A 14,587-nucleotide genomic window follows, 5' to 3' on the forward strand; every position below is an offset into this window, starting at 1 on the left:
AAAAACAACAAAAACAAAAGCCACAGGCTGCCTGGGGCAGGTGACTGTGCTGTGGTCACCAGGCCTCTCCCCCATGTGGTCACCGCCCTCGCCCAGCTGTGTGACGACATGCTGCAGACATGTGCCCCCTGCGTAGGCATCTGTGCACCTGTGTACGGCGTGTCACTCCTCCCTGGCGTGCAGCCAGCCCGGTGGCATCTTCCCTGTTTGTCTGCTTGGGAAGTGGAGACTCCAGGCCTCTCAGCTCTGTCTTCTCCTGGCTTTCTTCCCCAGGCACGACTTGGTTGATTGAGCTTGAAGTTAGGAATCTGAATCCACCAGACTTGGTTCCTTCCTCCTTTTCCCCTTTCTTCTCATTGACGTGTATGTTTATTTTTTATTTTTTTCGAGACAAGGTCTTGCTTTGTCGCTCAGGCTGGAGTGCAATGGCGTGATCATGGCTCACTGCAGCCTCAGCCTGCCTCCCTGGGTTCAGGTGATCCTCCCACTTCAGCCTCCGGAGTAGCCACGCCCGGCTAATTTTTTTGTTTTTGTTTTTTCTTTGAGACGCAGAGTCTTGCCCTGTCACCCAGGCTGGAGTGCAATGGCGTGATCTCAGCTCACTGCAACCTCCGCCTCCCGGGTTCAAGCCATTCTCTTGCCTTAGCCTCCCAGGTAGCTGGGATTACAGGCATGTGCCTGGCTAATTTTTGTATTTTTAGTAGAGACAGGGTTTCACCATGTTGGCCAGGCTGGTCTTGAACTCCTGACCTCAAGTGATCTGCCCCCCTCGGCCTCCCAGAGTGCTGGGATTACAGGCATGAGCCACGATGCTTGGCCTGATGTGTGTGTTTATTAAGCATCTACTGTATACACTGTGCTTGGTGTTGAGAGAGAACACAGCCTCAAAGCTCAGGGAGCATCTGCCCTGTTGTAGATAAGATAAGCACATTAATAATATATAACACGGCTCCACAGGTGGAAGGAGAGGTGCCGTCTTGAAGGCAGATGGGGTGAGGGGATGGGACTGCCTCTAGGGAGGTGTCAGGGAAGGCCCCATAAGGGAGGTGACTTGAGCTGAGCTGTGAGTGATGAGAGCCGGGGGACCGAGCTGTTAAGCTGCATGACCTGCCAGGGACAAAAGCCTGGAGGCCGGGTGAGCTTGGAATCTTTGAGGGCCCCTAGGGGGGCCAGGCTGGTGATGGGCAGCAGGTGGAAAGTGAGACTGAAGGTCAGAGGGGCCTCTGGACCTGGTGAGACTGTCCCCACAGTCCTGGGAGAGGTGGCCAGGAGCAAACCTGATGGTGTGGATGGCACTTCTCACGCGCCTGCTGTGTCTTACAGGACTGCCTGGACAGATCCTTTCGGGCACAGGTGTTCAGCTGCCCTGCCTGCCGCTACGACCTGGGCCGCAGCTATGCCATGCAGGTGAACCAGCCTCTGCAGACCGTCCTCAACCAGCTCTTCCCCGGCTACGGCAATGGCCGGTGATCTCCAAGCACTTCTCGACAGGCGTTTTGCTGAAAACGTGTCGGAGGGCTCGTTCATCGGCACTGATTTTGTTCTTAGTGGGCTTAACTTAAACAGGTAGTGTTTCCTCCGTTCCCTAAAAAGGTTTGTCTTCCTTTTTTTTTTTATTTTTATTTTTCAAATCTATACATTTTCAGGAATTTATGTATTCTGGCTAAAAGTTGGACTTCTCAGTATTGTGTTTAGTTCTTTGAAAACATAAAAGCCTGCAATTTCTCGACAAAACAACACAAGATTTTTTAAAGATGGAATCAGAAACTACGTGGTGTGGAGGCTGTTGATGTTTCTGGTGTCAAGTTCTCAGAAGTTGCTGCCACCAACTCTTTAAGAAGGCGACAGGATCAGTCCTTCTCTCGGGTTCTGGCCCCCAAGGTCAGAGCAAGCATCTTCCTGACAGCATTTTGTCATCTAAAGTCCAGTGACATGGTTCCCCGTGGTGGCCCGTGGCAGCCCGTGGCATGGCGTGGCTCAGCTGTCTGTTGAAGTTGTTGCAAGGAAAAGAGGAAACATCTCGGGCCTAGTTCAAACCTTTGCCTCAAAGCCATCCCCCACCAGACTGCTTAGCGTCTGAGATCCGCGTGAAAAGTCCTCTGCCCACGAGAGCAGGGAGTTGGGGCCACGCAGAAATGGCCTCAAGGGGACTCTGCTCCACGTGGGGCCAGGCGTGTGACTGACGCTGTCCGACGAAGGCGGCCACGGACGGACGCCAGCACACGAAGTCACGTGCAAGTGCCTTTGATTCGTTCCTTCTTTCTAAAGACGACAGTCTTTGTTGTTAGCACTGAATTATTGAAAATGTCAACCAGATTCTAGAAACTGCGGTCATCCAGTTCTTCCTGACACCGGATGGGTGCTTGGGAACCGTTTGAGCCTTATAGATCATTTACATTCAATTTTTTTAACTCAGCAAGTGAGAACTTACAAGAGGGTTTTTTTAAAATTTTTTTTTCTCTTAATGAACACATTTTCTAAATGAATTTTTTTTGTAGTTACTGTATATGTACCAAGAAAGATATAACGTTAGGGTTTGGTTGTTTTTGTTTTTGTATTTTTTTTCTTTTGAAAGGGTTTGTTAATTTTTCTAATTTTACCAAAGTTTGCAGCCTATACCTCAATAAAACAGGGATATTTTAAATCACATACCTGCAGACAAACTGGAGCAATGTTATTTTTAAAGGGTTTTTTTCACCTCCTTATTCTTAGATTATTAATGTATTAGGGAAGAATGAGACAATTTTGTGTAGGCTTTTTCTAAAGTCCAGTACTTTGTCCAGATTTTAGATTCTCAGAATAAATGTTTTTCACAGATAGACTTGATTGTGTCTTCCTATTTGCAAACTGCCTTTGGAGCTTTCTGTCTACTTTTGTGCACTATTTTACAAAAATCCCAGGAGAAACATGAGGCAGGTGGCTTCAGCCCCACTTTACAGATGAGAAAACTGAGACCCAGGAGATGACGGTGACGGGCTGAGGTCCTAACCGCAGCCTGGGAGGTGCTGGGCTGTTCACTTTGCAGCGTCAAGTTGCAGGGGTCAGCAAACGACAGCCAATGGGACCCAAGTCAGGACACTGCCTGTCTGTAAATAAAGTTTTATTGACACCACCACACCCATTTCTTTATGTATATAGTGGCGTTTACGCTACCATCAGCAGAACTGAGTAGGTACAGCAGAAACCATCTGGACCACAAAGCTGAAAAATACTCACTGCCTGGCCAGCAAAGCTTGCTGGTCTCTTCTCTTGGGAGGATGACTTGAGTGTAGGAGTCTGAGACCAGCCTGTAGACCCCAACTCTACAAATAAATAAAAATATTAGCCAGGTGTGGTGGTGTGTTTCTGTAGTCCCAGCTACTCAGGAGGTTGAGGCAGGAGGCTGATTGCTTGAGCCCCAGAGCTAGAGGCTGCAGTGAACTTTGATTGCACCACGGTACTCCAGCCTGGGCAACAGAATGAGATGCTGTCTTTAAAAACGTTTTAAAAAAAAAAAATCGGGACGGTAAAGGGGCTGCGTCTTGCAGATTAATTAATTCACATCAACCTATTACTGGTGCCTTTTATTGATGGTTAAGTAACCATATGGGCAGATTTGTTTTGTTTTTGAGACAGTCTTGCCCTGTTGTCCAGGCTGGAGTGCAATGGTGTGATCACAGCTCATTGCAGCCTCCAACTCCTGGGCTCAAGTGATCCTCCCATCTCAGCCTCCCGAGTAGCTGGTACCACAGGCATGCAGCACCATAACTGGCAAATTTAATTTTTTTTTTTTTTTTTTTGGAGAGACGGGATCTCATTCTGTTGCCCAGGCTGGTCTCCAACTCCTGTGATTAGGCGATCCTCCCATCTCAGCCTCCCAAAGTGCTGGGATTACAGACGTGAGCCACCACGTGCAGCCTGGAGTTTCTTTTTGAGGTGGTAAAAATGTTCTAAAATTGATGGTTGCACATGTCTGTGGATATACTAAAATCCACAGAATTGTGCACTTTATTTTTTATTTTTATTTTTTCCTTTTTTTTTTTTTGAGACGGAGTCTTGCTCTGTTGCCCAGGCTGGAGTGCAGTGGCGTGATCTCGGCTCACTGCAAGCTCCGCCTCCCGGGTTCACGCCATTCTTCTGCCTCAGCCTCCCAAGTAGCTGGGACTACAGGTGCCCGCCACCACACCCGGCTAATTTTTTTGTATTTTTAGTAAAGACAGGGTTTCACCGTGTTAGCCGGGATGGTCTCGATCTCCTGACCTCGTGATCCGCCCCCCTCGGCCTCCCAAAGTGCTGGGATTACAGGCGTGAGCCACCGCGCCCGGCCAGAATTGTGCACTTTAAGTGGGTGAATTGTATGGTATGTGGATTATACCAGAAATATGTCAAGTGTGAACGTGAAGATAAGATTCCCAGTTCTTGAAGGAAACTCCATAAATGTCCCCAGTGGGCCCTTCCTAGAAAACACTAAAGTGGGTTCATTGTTGAGATTGCTGCCTTCTTTTTGATTTTTCTCTCCCTTTAAAGAACAATGTCATGTTTAAAAAAATGAGCAAAACCCAGAAAAGTATTTGTGGAACTGTTTTGCCACCGACTCTAATCTTGGGCATATTTCTTTCCTGGTTCACTTAAAAAAATTTCTTTGGCCGGGTGCGATGGCTCACACCTGTAATCGCAGCACTTTAGGAGGCTGAGGTGGGCGGATCACCTGAGGTCAGGAGTTTGAGACCAGCCTGTCCAACATGGTGAAACCCCATCTCTACTAAAAATACAAAAATAAGCTGGGCATGATGGTATGAACCTGCAATCCCAGCTACTTGGGAGGCTGAGACAGGAGAATCGCTTGAACCCAGGAGGTGGAGTTTGCAGTGAGCCGAGATCACACCACTGCACTCCAGCCTGGGCAACAGAGCGAGACTCTGTCTCAAAAAAAAAAAAAAAAAAAAAAAAGTCTTTGATTCAAGATCTCACTTTGTCACCCAGGCTGGAGTACAGTGGTGGTGTCATCATAGCTCACTGCAGCCTCAAACTCCCATGCGCAAGCAATCCTCCTGCCTCAGCCTCCTGAGTAGCTGGGACTACTACAGGTGCAAACCACCATGCCTGGCTACTTTTTTAAAGAGAGAGATATATATTTTAGTAGAGAGAAGTCTCACTTTGTTGCCCAGGCTGGTCTGGAACTCCTGGTCTCAAGCCATCTTCCTGTCTGGGTCTCCCAAAGTGCTGGGATTACAGATGTGAACTACCATGCCCACCCTAAAAATCTTTAACAGCTCTATGGAGATAACAGTTCAGGTAATATAAAGGTCACCCTTTTAAAGCATACAGTTCAGTGGTTTTATTTTACTGTGTTGTTTTTGAGACAGTCTCGCTCTGTGGCCCAGGCTGGAGTGCAGTGGCAAGATCTCTGCTTACTGCAACCTCCCCCTCCCGAGTTCAAGTGATTCTTCTGCCTCGGCCTCCCAAGTAGCTGGGATTACAGGCATGCACCACCATGCCCGCCTAATTTTCATATTTTTAGTAGAGACAGGGTTTCACCATGTTGGTCAGGCTGGTCTCGAACTCCCGACCTCAGGTGATCCACTCGCCTCGGCCTCCCAAAGTGTTGGGATTACTGGTGTGAGCCACCATGCCTGGCCAGCTTAGTGGTTTTAGTATAGTCAATACAGTTATGCAGCCATCACCACCATCTAATTACAGAACTTTAACATCCACACAAAAAGAAACCTCACACCCTTCCGCAGTCTTGCCCTGTGTCCCTCCCCCAGGCCCTGCAAGCCACGAATCCTCTTTCTATCCTTATGGATTTGCCTGTCCTGGACATTTCATATAAATGGAATTATACTGTATTTTGTGTCTGGCTTCTGTCACTAAGGATGGAATTTTCGAGGTTCATCTGCATTGTAGCCTGTGTCAGAGCTTTATTCCTTTTCATGGCTGAGTAATATTCCACTGTACGGATGGGCCACCTTTCTATAATCCCCGTTTGACTTGTTTTAAGATGTAGTCTTGCTCTGTTGCCCAGGCTGGAGTGCAGTGGCATAATCTCGGCTCTACAACCTCCACCTCCTGGGTTCAAGTGATTCTCCTGCCTCAGCCTCCGGAGTAGTTGGGATTACAGGTGTGCACCACCATGCCTGGCTAATTTTTTTGTATTTTTGGTAGAGACGGTGTTTCACCATGTTGGCCAGGCTGGTCTCGAACTCCTGACCTCAAGTGATCTGCCCTCTTCGGTCTCCCAAAGTGCTGGGATTACAGGCGTGAGCCATGAAGCCCAGTCCCCAACTGCTTTTTTTTTTTTTTGGAGATAGTCTCCATGGCCCAGGCTGGAGTGCAGTGGTGTAATCTCAGCTCACTGCAGCTGCCTCCTCCTGGATTCAAGCAATTCTCGGGCTTCCCCTCTCTAGTAGATGGGACTACAGGCATGCACCACCACACCTGGCCGATTTTTGTACTTTTTGTAGAGATGGGGTTTTTGCCATGTTGGCCAGGCTGGTCTCGAACTCCCGGGCTCAAGTGATCCTCCTGCCTCAGCCTCCCAAAGTGCTGGGATTACAGCCACTGCACCTGGCCTCCCATTTCAATTTGTTAATGCAGCAGACCAACCCATAAGGGGAGGGGCATCTATTGAAGCATTGAACATTTTTGCGCTCCACACCTTGCCTGTCTAGAAAGATTGAGGGAGACCAGTCAGAAATTGAGCATTGGGCCTGCTAACTGGGGGTTCCTTGACGTCTGAAAGCCAAGCCAAGCCTCCTGGTCTTGTTTAGGGGGAGGTCCCCAAGCATTCCCTGCCCCAGTCCTTTGTGAGATTTGCATCTGACTGCAAAGGATGGAAGAAAACCAGGGCAATTAGGTGAGTGTTGCCTAAATTAATCTGCCCATTAAAATATTCTAAAGAGCATTTCCTTCCTTTTTGGAGGATGAGGACTTCTACTTATCTGACAGCAATTCTAGTGTGTTTTTAACATTTTAATATGAAGAGTTTCCAAAACTTGGAAAGAATCGGATTTGGAAAGAATCGGATGGTGAACCCTCAGACCTACCGTCTAGATTCTATGATCATGTTAAGTTTTTCTCATAAGAGATGGCATGAAAACTTTGTCTAAGCAAAATAAAGTGGAGAACCCATTTGGGTTCCTCGGTTAAAAACATTTATATTGTCTGTGAAATCTAAACACCCCCCACTGTCTCAGAGAATATACTTGGAAGTAGAACAAAAAGCCCTATGTATGTGGTACGTGGGGTGGGGACTCTTTCCCTTCATGATTGCACTTTTTTTTTTTTTTGAGACAGGGTCTCATTCTGTTGCCCAGGAGTGCAGTGGTGTGATCATGGCTCACTGCAGCCTCGACCTCCTGGGCTCAAGTGATCCTCCCTCAGCCCCCAGTGTAGCTGGGACCACAGGCATGTGCCCGCACAATCAACTCGGTTTTTATTTTTAGTAGAGAAGAGGTCTCGCTCTGTTGCCCAGGCTGGCCTGAAACTCCTGGGATCAAGTGATCCTCCCACCTTGGCCTCCCAAAGGGCTGGGATTACAGATGTGAGTCACTACACCCAGCCTGGGCAACAGCCTGTTTTTAAATTTTGTTTTTACTTTTTATTTTGAGACGGGGTTTGACTCTGTCACCCAGGCTGGAGTGCAGTGGTGTAATCAACGGCTCACTGCAGCCTCCACTTCCCCGGGCTCAGGTGATCCTTTCGCCTCAGCCCCCGAATAGCTGGGATTATAGGCGCGTGTCACCACGCCCAACTTTTGTAATTTTTTTGGTAGAGACGGAGTCTTGCTATATTGCCCAGCCTGTTCTCAAACTCGTGGGCTCAAGTGATCTGCCCATCTCAGCCTCCCAAAGTGCTGCGATTCCAGGCATGACCTGAAATTAAATCTCAACTCCATGTGGAATATATGAATATGGTCCCATAAGAATTTAAAACACCCAGAGCTTCTTAAATTCTCCTTTGACTTCTCTTTTTACCAGTGTGCAGCTTTCCTTCTCTCCCCAAGGATTAAGTTCGTTTCTTCAGTTTAGGAGTACCTTTTTCTGTGCATTGACAAGCTTGTGTGCTCTTAACCTCATGATACCGGTTTCTGTGTGTGTTTCCATATTTATTTTATTGAGTACAGGATTCTGGACCACTGTCCCTAGCTCAGCGGTTGGGAGATATTTCATGTTTGCAAACAGATCGGCCTTCTCTTTTTTCTTTTCTTTCCTTTTTTGAGACAGAGTCTCACCCTGTTGCCCAGGCTGAAGTGCAGTGATCTCGACTCACTGCAACCTCCGCCTCAGCCTCTGGAGTAGCTGGGATTACAGGCATGCGCCACCATGCCTGGCTAATTTTGTATTTGTTAATAGAGACAGGTTTTTGCCATGTTGGCCAGGCTGGTCTCGAACTCTGGACCTCAGGTGTTCCACCCGACTCGACCTCCCAAAGTGCTGGGATTACAGGTGTGAGTCGCCCGAGCCACAGCACCGGGCCTGGCCTCCTTTTCAATTGCTACATAGTAAGTATTCCAGAGTACTGATTGCTATTAAGTTACTTCTCTAATCCCCCACTGATGGATAGTTAGTGCAAAACATTGGAAACAGTTGCAGACAGCCCTGCCGCCGGCATTCTTGAATTGTGTAAGCTCCAGACCTTTTTTCTGGGTACATCACCTCCAGGAAGAACTGCTGGCTGGGTTATCGGGTGGTGGATGCACTTAGAATGTTATTAGAAAATGTCAAATTGCCCAATTTACACTCCTGCCACTCCAAATGGGGGCATGCCTCACACCCCTGCGTGGTCCAGTACACAATGAATGCTCATTTTGTGAAGTCACAGGGTCAAATCTTTCTCCGTGCCTCATCCCACTTAATCCTTGCAACATTCTCAAGAGGCGGGTAGACGGGGTGTGGCCACTACCATCATATCCATTGCACAGTTGGAAACAGACTCAGCGAGGTTACTTTGCTGGAGGTCAACCACAGTGAGGCATGGGGCCCGGCTTAGCTTTGAATCCAGGTCAGAAAGCACCAAAGCTCATTCTCTCCCATACATTTTAGGGAACTCGGGGAGAGGGACCCTAACTATTCCGAAGGCCTTGCCCCTTGGCAAAGGTTTGTTGATTGTGATGGGAATAGACCTACGGTGGCGGGGTGGAGGCTCTTGCTGCTTTACCCTATGTTCTCGGTTCTCCTCCTTTGCAAAACGGATCGCTATGTCTCCTTGCTTGGCACTTTGCAAATTGGGGAACGCTAAGCCCACATTCCGGCCACGGGTTTCGAACCTCCAGCCTGCACGTTCCCGGCCGGTGCTGATGCTGTGCTGGGTCTCACGTACTCAGCCGCCGCCTGATAACCAGGGCGGGGCCCGGAGCTTGCGGGCAGTGATTGGCACCTGCCCCAGCCTGTCCGCGCCTCGGGCTGGCCCCTCAAGCCAATACTGGCTCCTCTCTGTGCGGTCGTCGGGCGGGCCCTGAGGCTCCCTTGTCAATCCAAGGCCCAGCTGCCGTCGGGTTGGTCGCGGCAGCCTTGGCTGGCGTGCGCCCCCTCCAATGAGAACAGAGCCGGTCAGCGGGCACGTGGGTGGGCGCCGGCGTGTCCCCGCCGGTCTGCCAATGAAGAGGCGAGGCCGGCGTTTGTCCCCGCCCAATCGCGGCGCGCGGTGGGCGGGCCGTGCGGTGTTGATGGGCCCGGCGGAGGGGAGGGGCGGAGCTGTCAGCTCCGGCCAATGGGCGCTCGGGCGTGGATCCGGCAGCCAATGGCAGTCGGGGCGGAGCTGGCGCGCGGCCTTATAAGCCCCCCCGCGAGCGCTTGCGGAGGGCTCGGTCGCCAGCAACCGAGCGGGGCCCGGCCCGAGCGGGGCCTGGGGGTGCGACGCCGAGGGCGGGGGAGAGCGCGCCGCTGCTCCCGGACCGGGCCGCGCACGCCGCCTCAGGTGAGCCCACGGGGAGGCCGCCCGGCCGTGTCCGAGCGCGGACCCCGCCGCCATGGCCGCCCCCGCGTCGCGGCTCGGGGCTGCGGGCGCGCCCGGGACTCGAGGCCCAGGCCTCGGGCGCGGCCTGCTCGGGCCGGGCCTCGCGCTTTGTCCGGGCCGGCGGGGCGGTTGGGGCGTTAACCGCCCGGCCCGGGGGCGCCCGCTGGTTTTCGGGCGGGGGCGGCGGGGCCGGACAATGGCGGGGCGCGCCCAGGGGCGGGAGCGGGGGCCCCTTCCCGGGCCGGGGGCGCGCGGGGGCTGGGCACAGACGGCCCCGGCGCCCCGCACAAAAGATGACAGCGTGGGTGGCCCCGGCCGGGCCCTTTTATCACCCGGGACAAGCCTCGGCCTATTATTATTATTATTTTTGAAAGAAAGCAAGAAAAAGGAAAAAGACCCCAGCCCCTGGGTAACCCCCGCCTGCGTTTCTGGCCCTTTGGGCGCCAGGGGGGCTAAGGGGAAGCCCCCCAGCTGGACACCCAGGGATGCCCCCTAAATGCCTATCATTGCTCCTGCACTGCCCCCACCTCCGGTCAACCTGCTATGCCTTGGTAGCTTCCAAACTTGCCCCCCTGTACGTACCCGAAACCCCCACCCCGCCATAAGCATATGCAATCTGGATTTTAGAAAAAAATCATCTTGCTATGCAACGGCAGCCTCCACGAGTCTCTCCGTCCCTCCCCCTTCCAGCCTGATCGCCATCTCGAACGAAGCCCCTGCTCTAGAGAAATGAATTGAGGAGTTGCTTCCGCCGAGACCCCTTTTCTGTGTCCCCCGTGGACATCCCCCTGGGAGCTGGGGACGGACTCGCTCTGAAATCTGCTTGACCTGGGGTCTGCCAGGGCCCAGGTCTGCGCTCAGTGGTGGCCATGACAATCAGGCAGGACGGGGGACTCTGTCCACCTGGGCACGGTGGAAGGTTTTAAGGGGCATGTTTTCCGCCCCTGGGGGCAGTGGAGGCATGGACTGCTTTTGGGTGCATCCCATCTGTTTGCTTGGGGGAGGATGCTTCTGTTTTAATAATTTACCAGCACCCTGTGAGGAAGTGTTCCCCGAGTTGTGAAACTAGTGAGAAGGTGGTTCAGCTCCGTGGAGCCTAGTGATCCTGTCATATGTGAAGAGCGTCTTTTTCCATGTGTTTCTGGCTGGGGCGTGTATTCAGCAAGTTCCTTTGGGTCCCACCGGGTGCCTGCACTGTCTTGGGATCTCTGGATACTGGACTGAATTCAAGGGATCGGTGCCCTGCCCCAGTCCTCTGCCTCAATGGCCATTTATCAGAATGTCCCCGGGCTGGAGAATGCTCCTAAAAACAGCACCAGTCCTAAAGCAGGCTCATTAGACGACTCCTATGGGCTTTTATCACTGCCGTTATGGGAGCTAATGACTCCCCTAATTCTCCAATAATAGCTTCCTTATGAGCCACCAGGAGGGTTTGTCAACACACGGGGTCAGCCTTCTCCTGCAGCCCCTGCTGAAGCAGTGGGCATCCTCTCTCCGCTTTGCAGTTTATGTTTTGAAACCCTGAAGGTCGGAGCGTAAAGCCGTGGTAGAGTCAACTTCTGTCTGAGCCGAGGATTTCTGGGACTTGCCAGCCTCGTCTCCGTGTGTCTGATTGGACACCTGGCAGGTCCGGGCGCTCCCCCTCCTTGAGCCGGCGACACCAGGACGGGTCAGACTGTCCTGGCCTAGAGGAGGTCACCGCTGGGGAGGAAAAGGGGGTAACGGAGATTCTGCCGCACAGACGGGTGTCTGTGTACAGGCTGTTTTGGTGGAAGCGTCTACTGTGTCAGGAGCTGCGGGTGCCTGCGTGTGCACGTGTGTGTTTAGTTGCTGAGACCTGAAATATATATGTCTTAGTAACAATCCGTTTGCTCGCATTTTCTAACCCTTTCCTCTTTGGGGAGGGGGCTGCTAACAAGATGTTAACTGCTGGCGCTTAAAGGTATAGCTGATCAGCCACCGCACAGCACCCCGCCTGGCCTTTGTTGTACTTTTCTGTCTCGTGGAAGAGACCCTTCCTCAGCCTCCTGCCCTGTCTTCAGTCCCTGTCCCGTCCTGCAGGAGCCCTCTGGGGTGGCCAGGGGCCGTCCTCTGTGTCCTTCTCTCCCACCTGACCACTCTGCCTGTACTTTAATTCCTAATTTCTCTGTCTCCTCTGCTGGTTTCCTGCCCGTTTGTCCTATGCCCCACCCACTCCCTGATGAGCCGGGGAGGAGCCTCAGCTCTGGGGAAGCCATCTGTCCTCGGTTCCATCTGACACCTGTGGGGACGTGCCTTGGGGTCATGCGTTCACCTGGTCTGGGGCTGCTAGGTTTCCAGTGCCGAGTGCCATGCCGGGACAGGTTGGGAGGAGTCCCTGGCTCCTGTGGGTTTAGAGTGTAGTGGGGGAAAGGGTGAGCTGGCTGCCCAGGGCCTGGTCACAGCTGGAATGGTGGTGTGCAGTCCGCTGCCCTCGGGCCCAGCTCAGGGAGCAGGCAGGAGGAGGCGAGGCTGTTGAGGGCCTGAGGTGCATTTGTAGGTGGCTTTGTTCCCTGGATCGGGGAGCGGAATTGGGGGTTCAGAGCTGGGTGACCTTGACCCAGTCACTTGCTCAGTGACAAAGCAGATCGGGGGCACTAAATCTTTCGGAGCCCACTGGGCAGGAGGGGACGGAGAGCAGATGAACAGGGTGGGGGCTCGGGGCGGGGGGAGCTCCGCAGGCCTGCACTGGTCACCGCCATGACAGATCGGCCGTCCTCATCCACAGCCTCACCCTAGGCTCCTGGCTCAGCTCCAGGGACCTGCCATGAGGCAGCTCGATGGGGTCTTCAGATGCCACAGCCCTCCCCCTTCCTGCCCCAGGGGTCTCTGTTCCTGGCTTAGGATGCCGGACAGAAGAGCAGGGGCCCAGCCTGGGCTCCGTTCTCATCTGGTGGTCTTGACGACGTCTCTGGATCTCTGCCCTCTGTCCCATGCCCCACACAGGCTTCAGAGTTGGAGAGACCTGGATTCAGATCCCTCCTCTGAGGCAGTCACTTCCCCTCTCTGGGCCTTGCTTTCTTCTCTGTAAAATGGGTGTAATGGGAACACCTCCCTCCCAGGTGGTTGTGAGGATCAAAGCGGGTAAAAGGCGCTGAAGCTTGCAGGGTGCCAGGAGCTCTGAGTTCGGAGCCGGTTTATTACACAGCAAGGCCCTCTGCCCTGTCAGGGTCTCCCCACCTCTGCCCTATCCACGTTCTGGGCTGGGACATTCTGTGGCGGGGCTGTCCTGGGCACCGTAGGGTGAGTGTGAACAATATCCCTGACCACCACCCACCAGATGCTAGTAGCACCCTGTCCCCTAAGCGGTAGCAACCAAAAATGTCCCCTGGGAAGCACTGTCAACCCCGCAGTGAGAACCTTGGACTTGGCCTTCAGCCCTGCAGTAGCTCATGGTGTGCTGTGACCGTGATGGGCCTCAGCTCCCTTTCTTTCCTCCCCACTCACCCTTTAGCAGTGAGTGACTCCTATTTGCAAACTGTGTCCCGGACACACTCCTCACCTGGTTGTTCAGGTTCTCCGTGACTGTCCTTCTGCCCTTCCAGGGTGGCAGCTTCCACCTGAGAGGACAGGAGCCCCCACGGGGTCCCCTGCACGCCCTGCAATGAGGGGCAGCCCGGCATCTGTGGGGTCTTCTGGGCTGCTCTCTGGCCTCTGAGCTCCGGGTCTTCCTGGGCTGCTCTTTGGCCTCTGAGCTTTGGCAGGTCCTTGCCCAGGCTTGCTTGGCTGCCCCCAGGGGTGGCACTTCCACACCCTCCCAGTCACCATAGCCCTGACCTGTCGATTTGCCAGACAGTTTTCTTTAAGTCCATTTAAAAATGACTCACCTCTTTGATCTTGGCCTCTTCCTGAACAGTAATGTCCCCAGAGTTGTGGAACGTTAATGTGCTAGTTGCACATACTTTTATTTATTTATTTTGAGACAGAATCTCACTCTGTCACCCAGGCTGGAGTACAGTGGCTAGATCTCAGCTCACTGCAACCTCCGCCTCCCGGGTTCAAGTGATTCTCTGGCCTCAGCCTCCCGAGTAGCTGGGATTACAGGTGCCCGCCACCACACCCTGCTAACTTTTGTATTTTTAGTAGACACGGGGTTTCACCATGTTGACCAGGCTGGTCTCAAACTCCTGACCTCAAGTGATCCGCCTGCCTCGGCCTCCCAAAGTGCTGGGATTACAGGCATGAGCCACTATGCTCGGCCAAGTTGCACATACTTTTACTAATTCGCGTTCAAATGAGCTTAACCACTATATTAAAAAAAAGAAAATTTGTATCTTCCCAAATACTGAGGGGGGAGTGGATTGACGAATTGATGTTTCTTGGTTTTTGGACAAATTAATTTTCAAGCTCACTCCCTGCGTGACTGGCCTGTTCTAGGATGCTGGACTTGGTTAGATCTGGGTCCGTCTATTCCCTCCTGCTCCCTTGAGGAGCTCGGAAAATGGCCTTCCCTGTTGGGGCGGGGAACATGGGAAGTCTCTACCTCCTGCTTAGTTTTGCTGTGAACCTAAAACTGCTCTCTGAAACAAAGCATATTAAAAAAAAAAAAAAAAAAAAACTGGCTGGGTGCGGTGGCTCATGCCTGTAATCCCAGCACTTTGGGAGGCTGAGGCGGGCGGATCACCTGAGGTCA

General features: G+C 52.5%; 2 protein-coding genes across 21 annotated transcripts in view, besides 4 other annotated features; both read left to right on the forward strand.

Moving 5' to 3' along the window:
- Positions 1–2,821, forward strand: part of UHRF1 (ubiquitin like with PHD and ring finger domains 1) — a 59,075-nt gene extending 56,254 nt beyond the window's left edge. For all 9 annotated transcript variants that reach the window (NM_001290050.2, NM_001048201.3, XM_011527942.2 and 6 more), the window contains one exon: positions 1,324–2,821. In NM_001290050.2, the coding sequence (NP_001276979.1) occupies positions 1,324–1,470 (147 nt within the window). In that variant the 3' untranslated portion in view covers positions 1,471–2,821. The remainder of the gene's footprint in view (positions 1–1,323) is intronic.
- Positions 9,244–9,343: a silencer, noted in NCBI's record as "silent region_9914". NCBI's record gives its function as "represses an Ori minimal core promoter by ATAC-STARR-seq in GM12878 lymphoblastoid cells {active_cell/tissue: GM12878}" and the evidence as "EXISTENCE:reporter gene assay evidence [ECO:0000049][PMID:35858748]".
- Positions 9,654–9,953: a silencer, noted in NCBI's record as "silent region_9915". NCBI's record gives its function as "represses an Ori minimal core promoter by ATAC-STARR-seq in GM12878 lymphoblastoid cells {active_cell/tissue: GM12878}" and the evidence as "EXISTENCE:reporter gene assay evidence [ECO:0000049][PMID:35858748]".
- The window catches only part of KDM4B (lysine demethylase 4B), a 184,486-nt gene continuing 179,678 nt past the window's right edge, over positions 9,780–14,587 (forward strand). For all 12 annotated transcript variants that reach the window (XR_007066691.1, XM_005259521.5, NM_015015.3 and 9 more), the window contains exon 1: positions 9,780–9,897. The gene's annotated coding sequence lies outside the window, so the exon portion shown is untranslated. The remainder of the gene's footprint in view (positions 9,898–14,587) is intronic.
- Positions 11,220–11,269: an enhancer, noted in NCBI's record as "active region_13789". NCBI's record gives its function as "activates an Ori minimal core promoter by ATAC-STARR-seq in GM12878 lymphoblastoid cells {active_cell/tissue: GM12878}" and the evidence as "EXISTENCE:reporter gene assay evidence [ECO:0000049][PMID:35858748]".
- Positions 12,274–12,343: an enhancer, noted in NCBI's record as "active region_13790". NCBI's record gives its function as "activates an Ori minimal core promoter by ATAC-STARR-seq in GM12878 lymphoblastoid cells {active_cell/tissue: GM12878}" and the evidence as "EXISTENCE:reporter gene assay evidence [ECO:0000049][PMID:35858748]".

Source organism: Homo sapiens, chromosome 19, assembly GCF_000001405.40.
Source record: "Homo sapiens chromosome 19, GRCh38.p14 Primary Assembly".
In the NCBI taxonomy this organism is placed as follows: domain Eukaryota; kingdom Metazoa; phylum Chordata; class Mammalia; order Primates; family Hominidae; genus Homo; species Homo sapiens.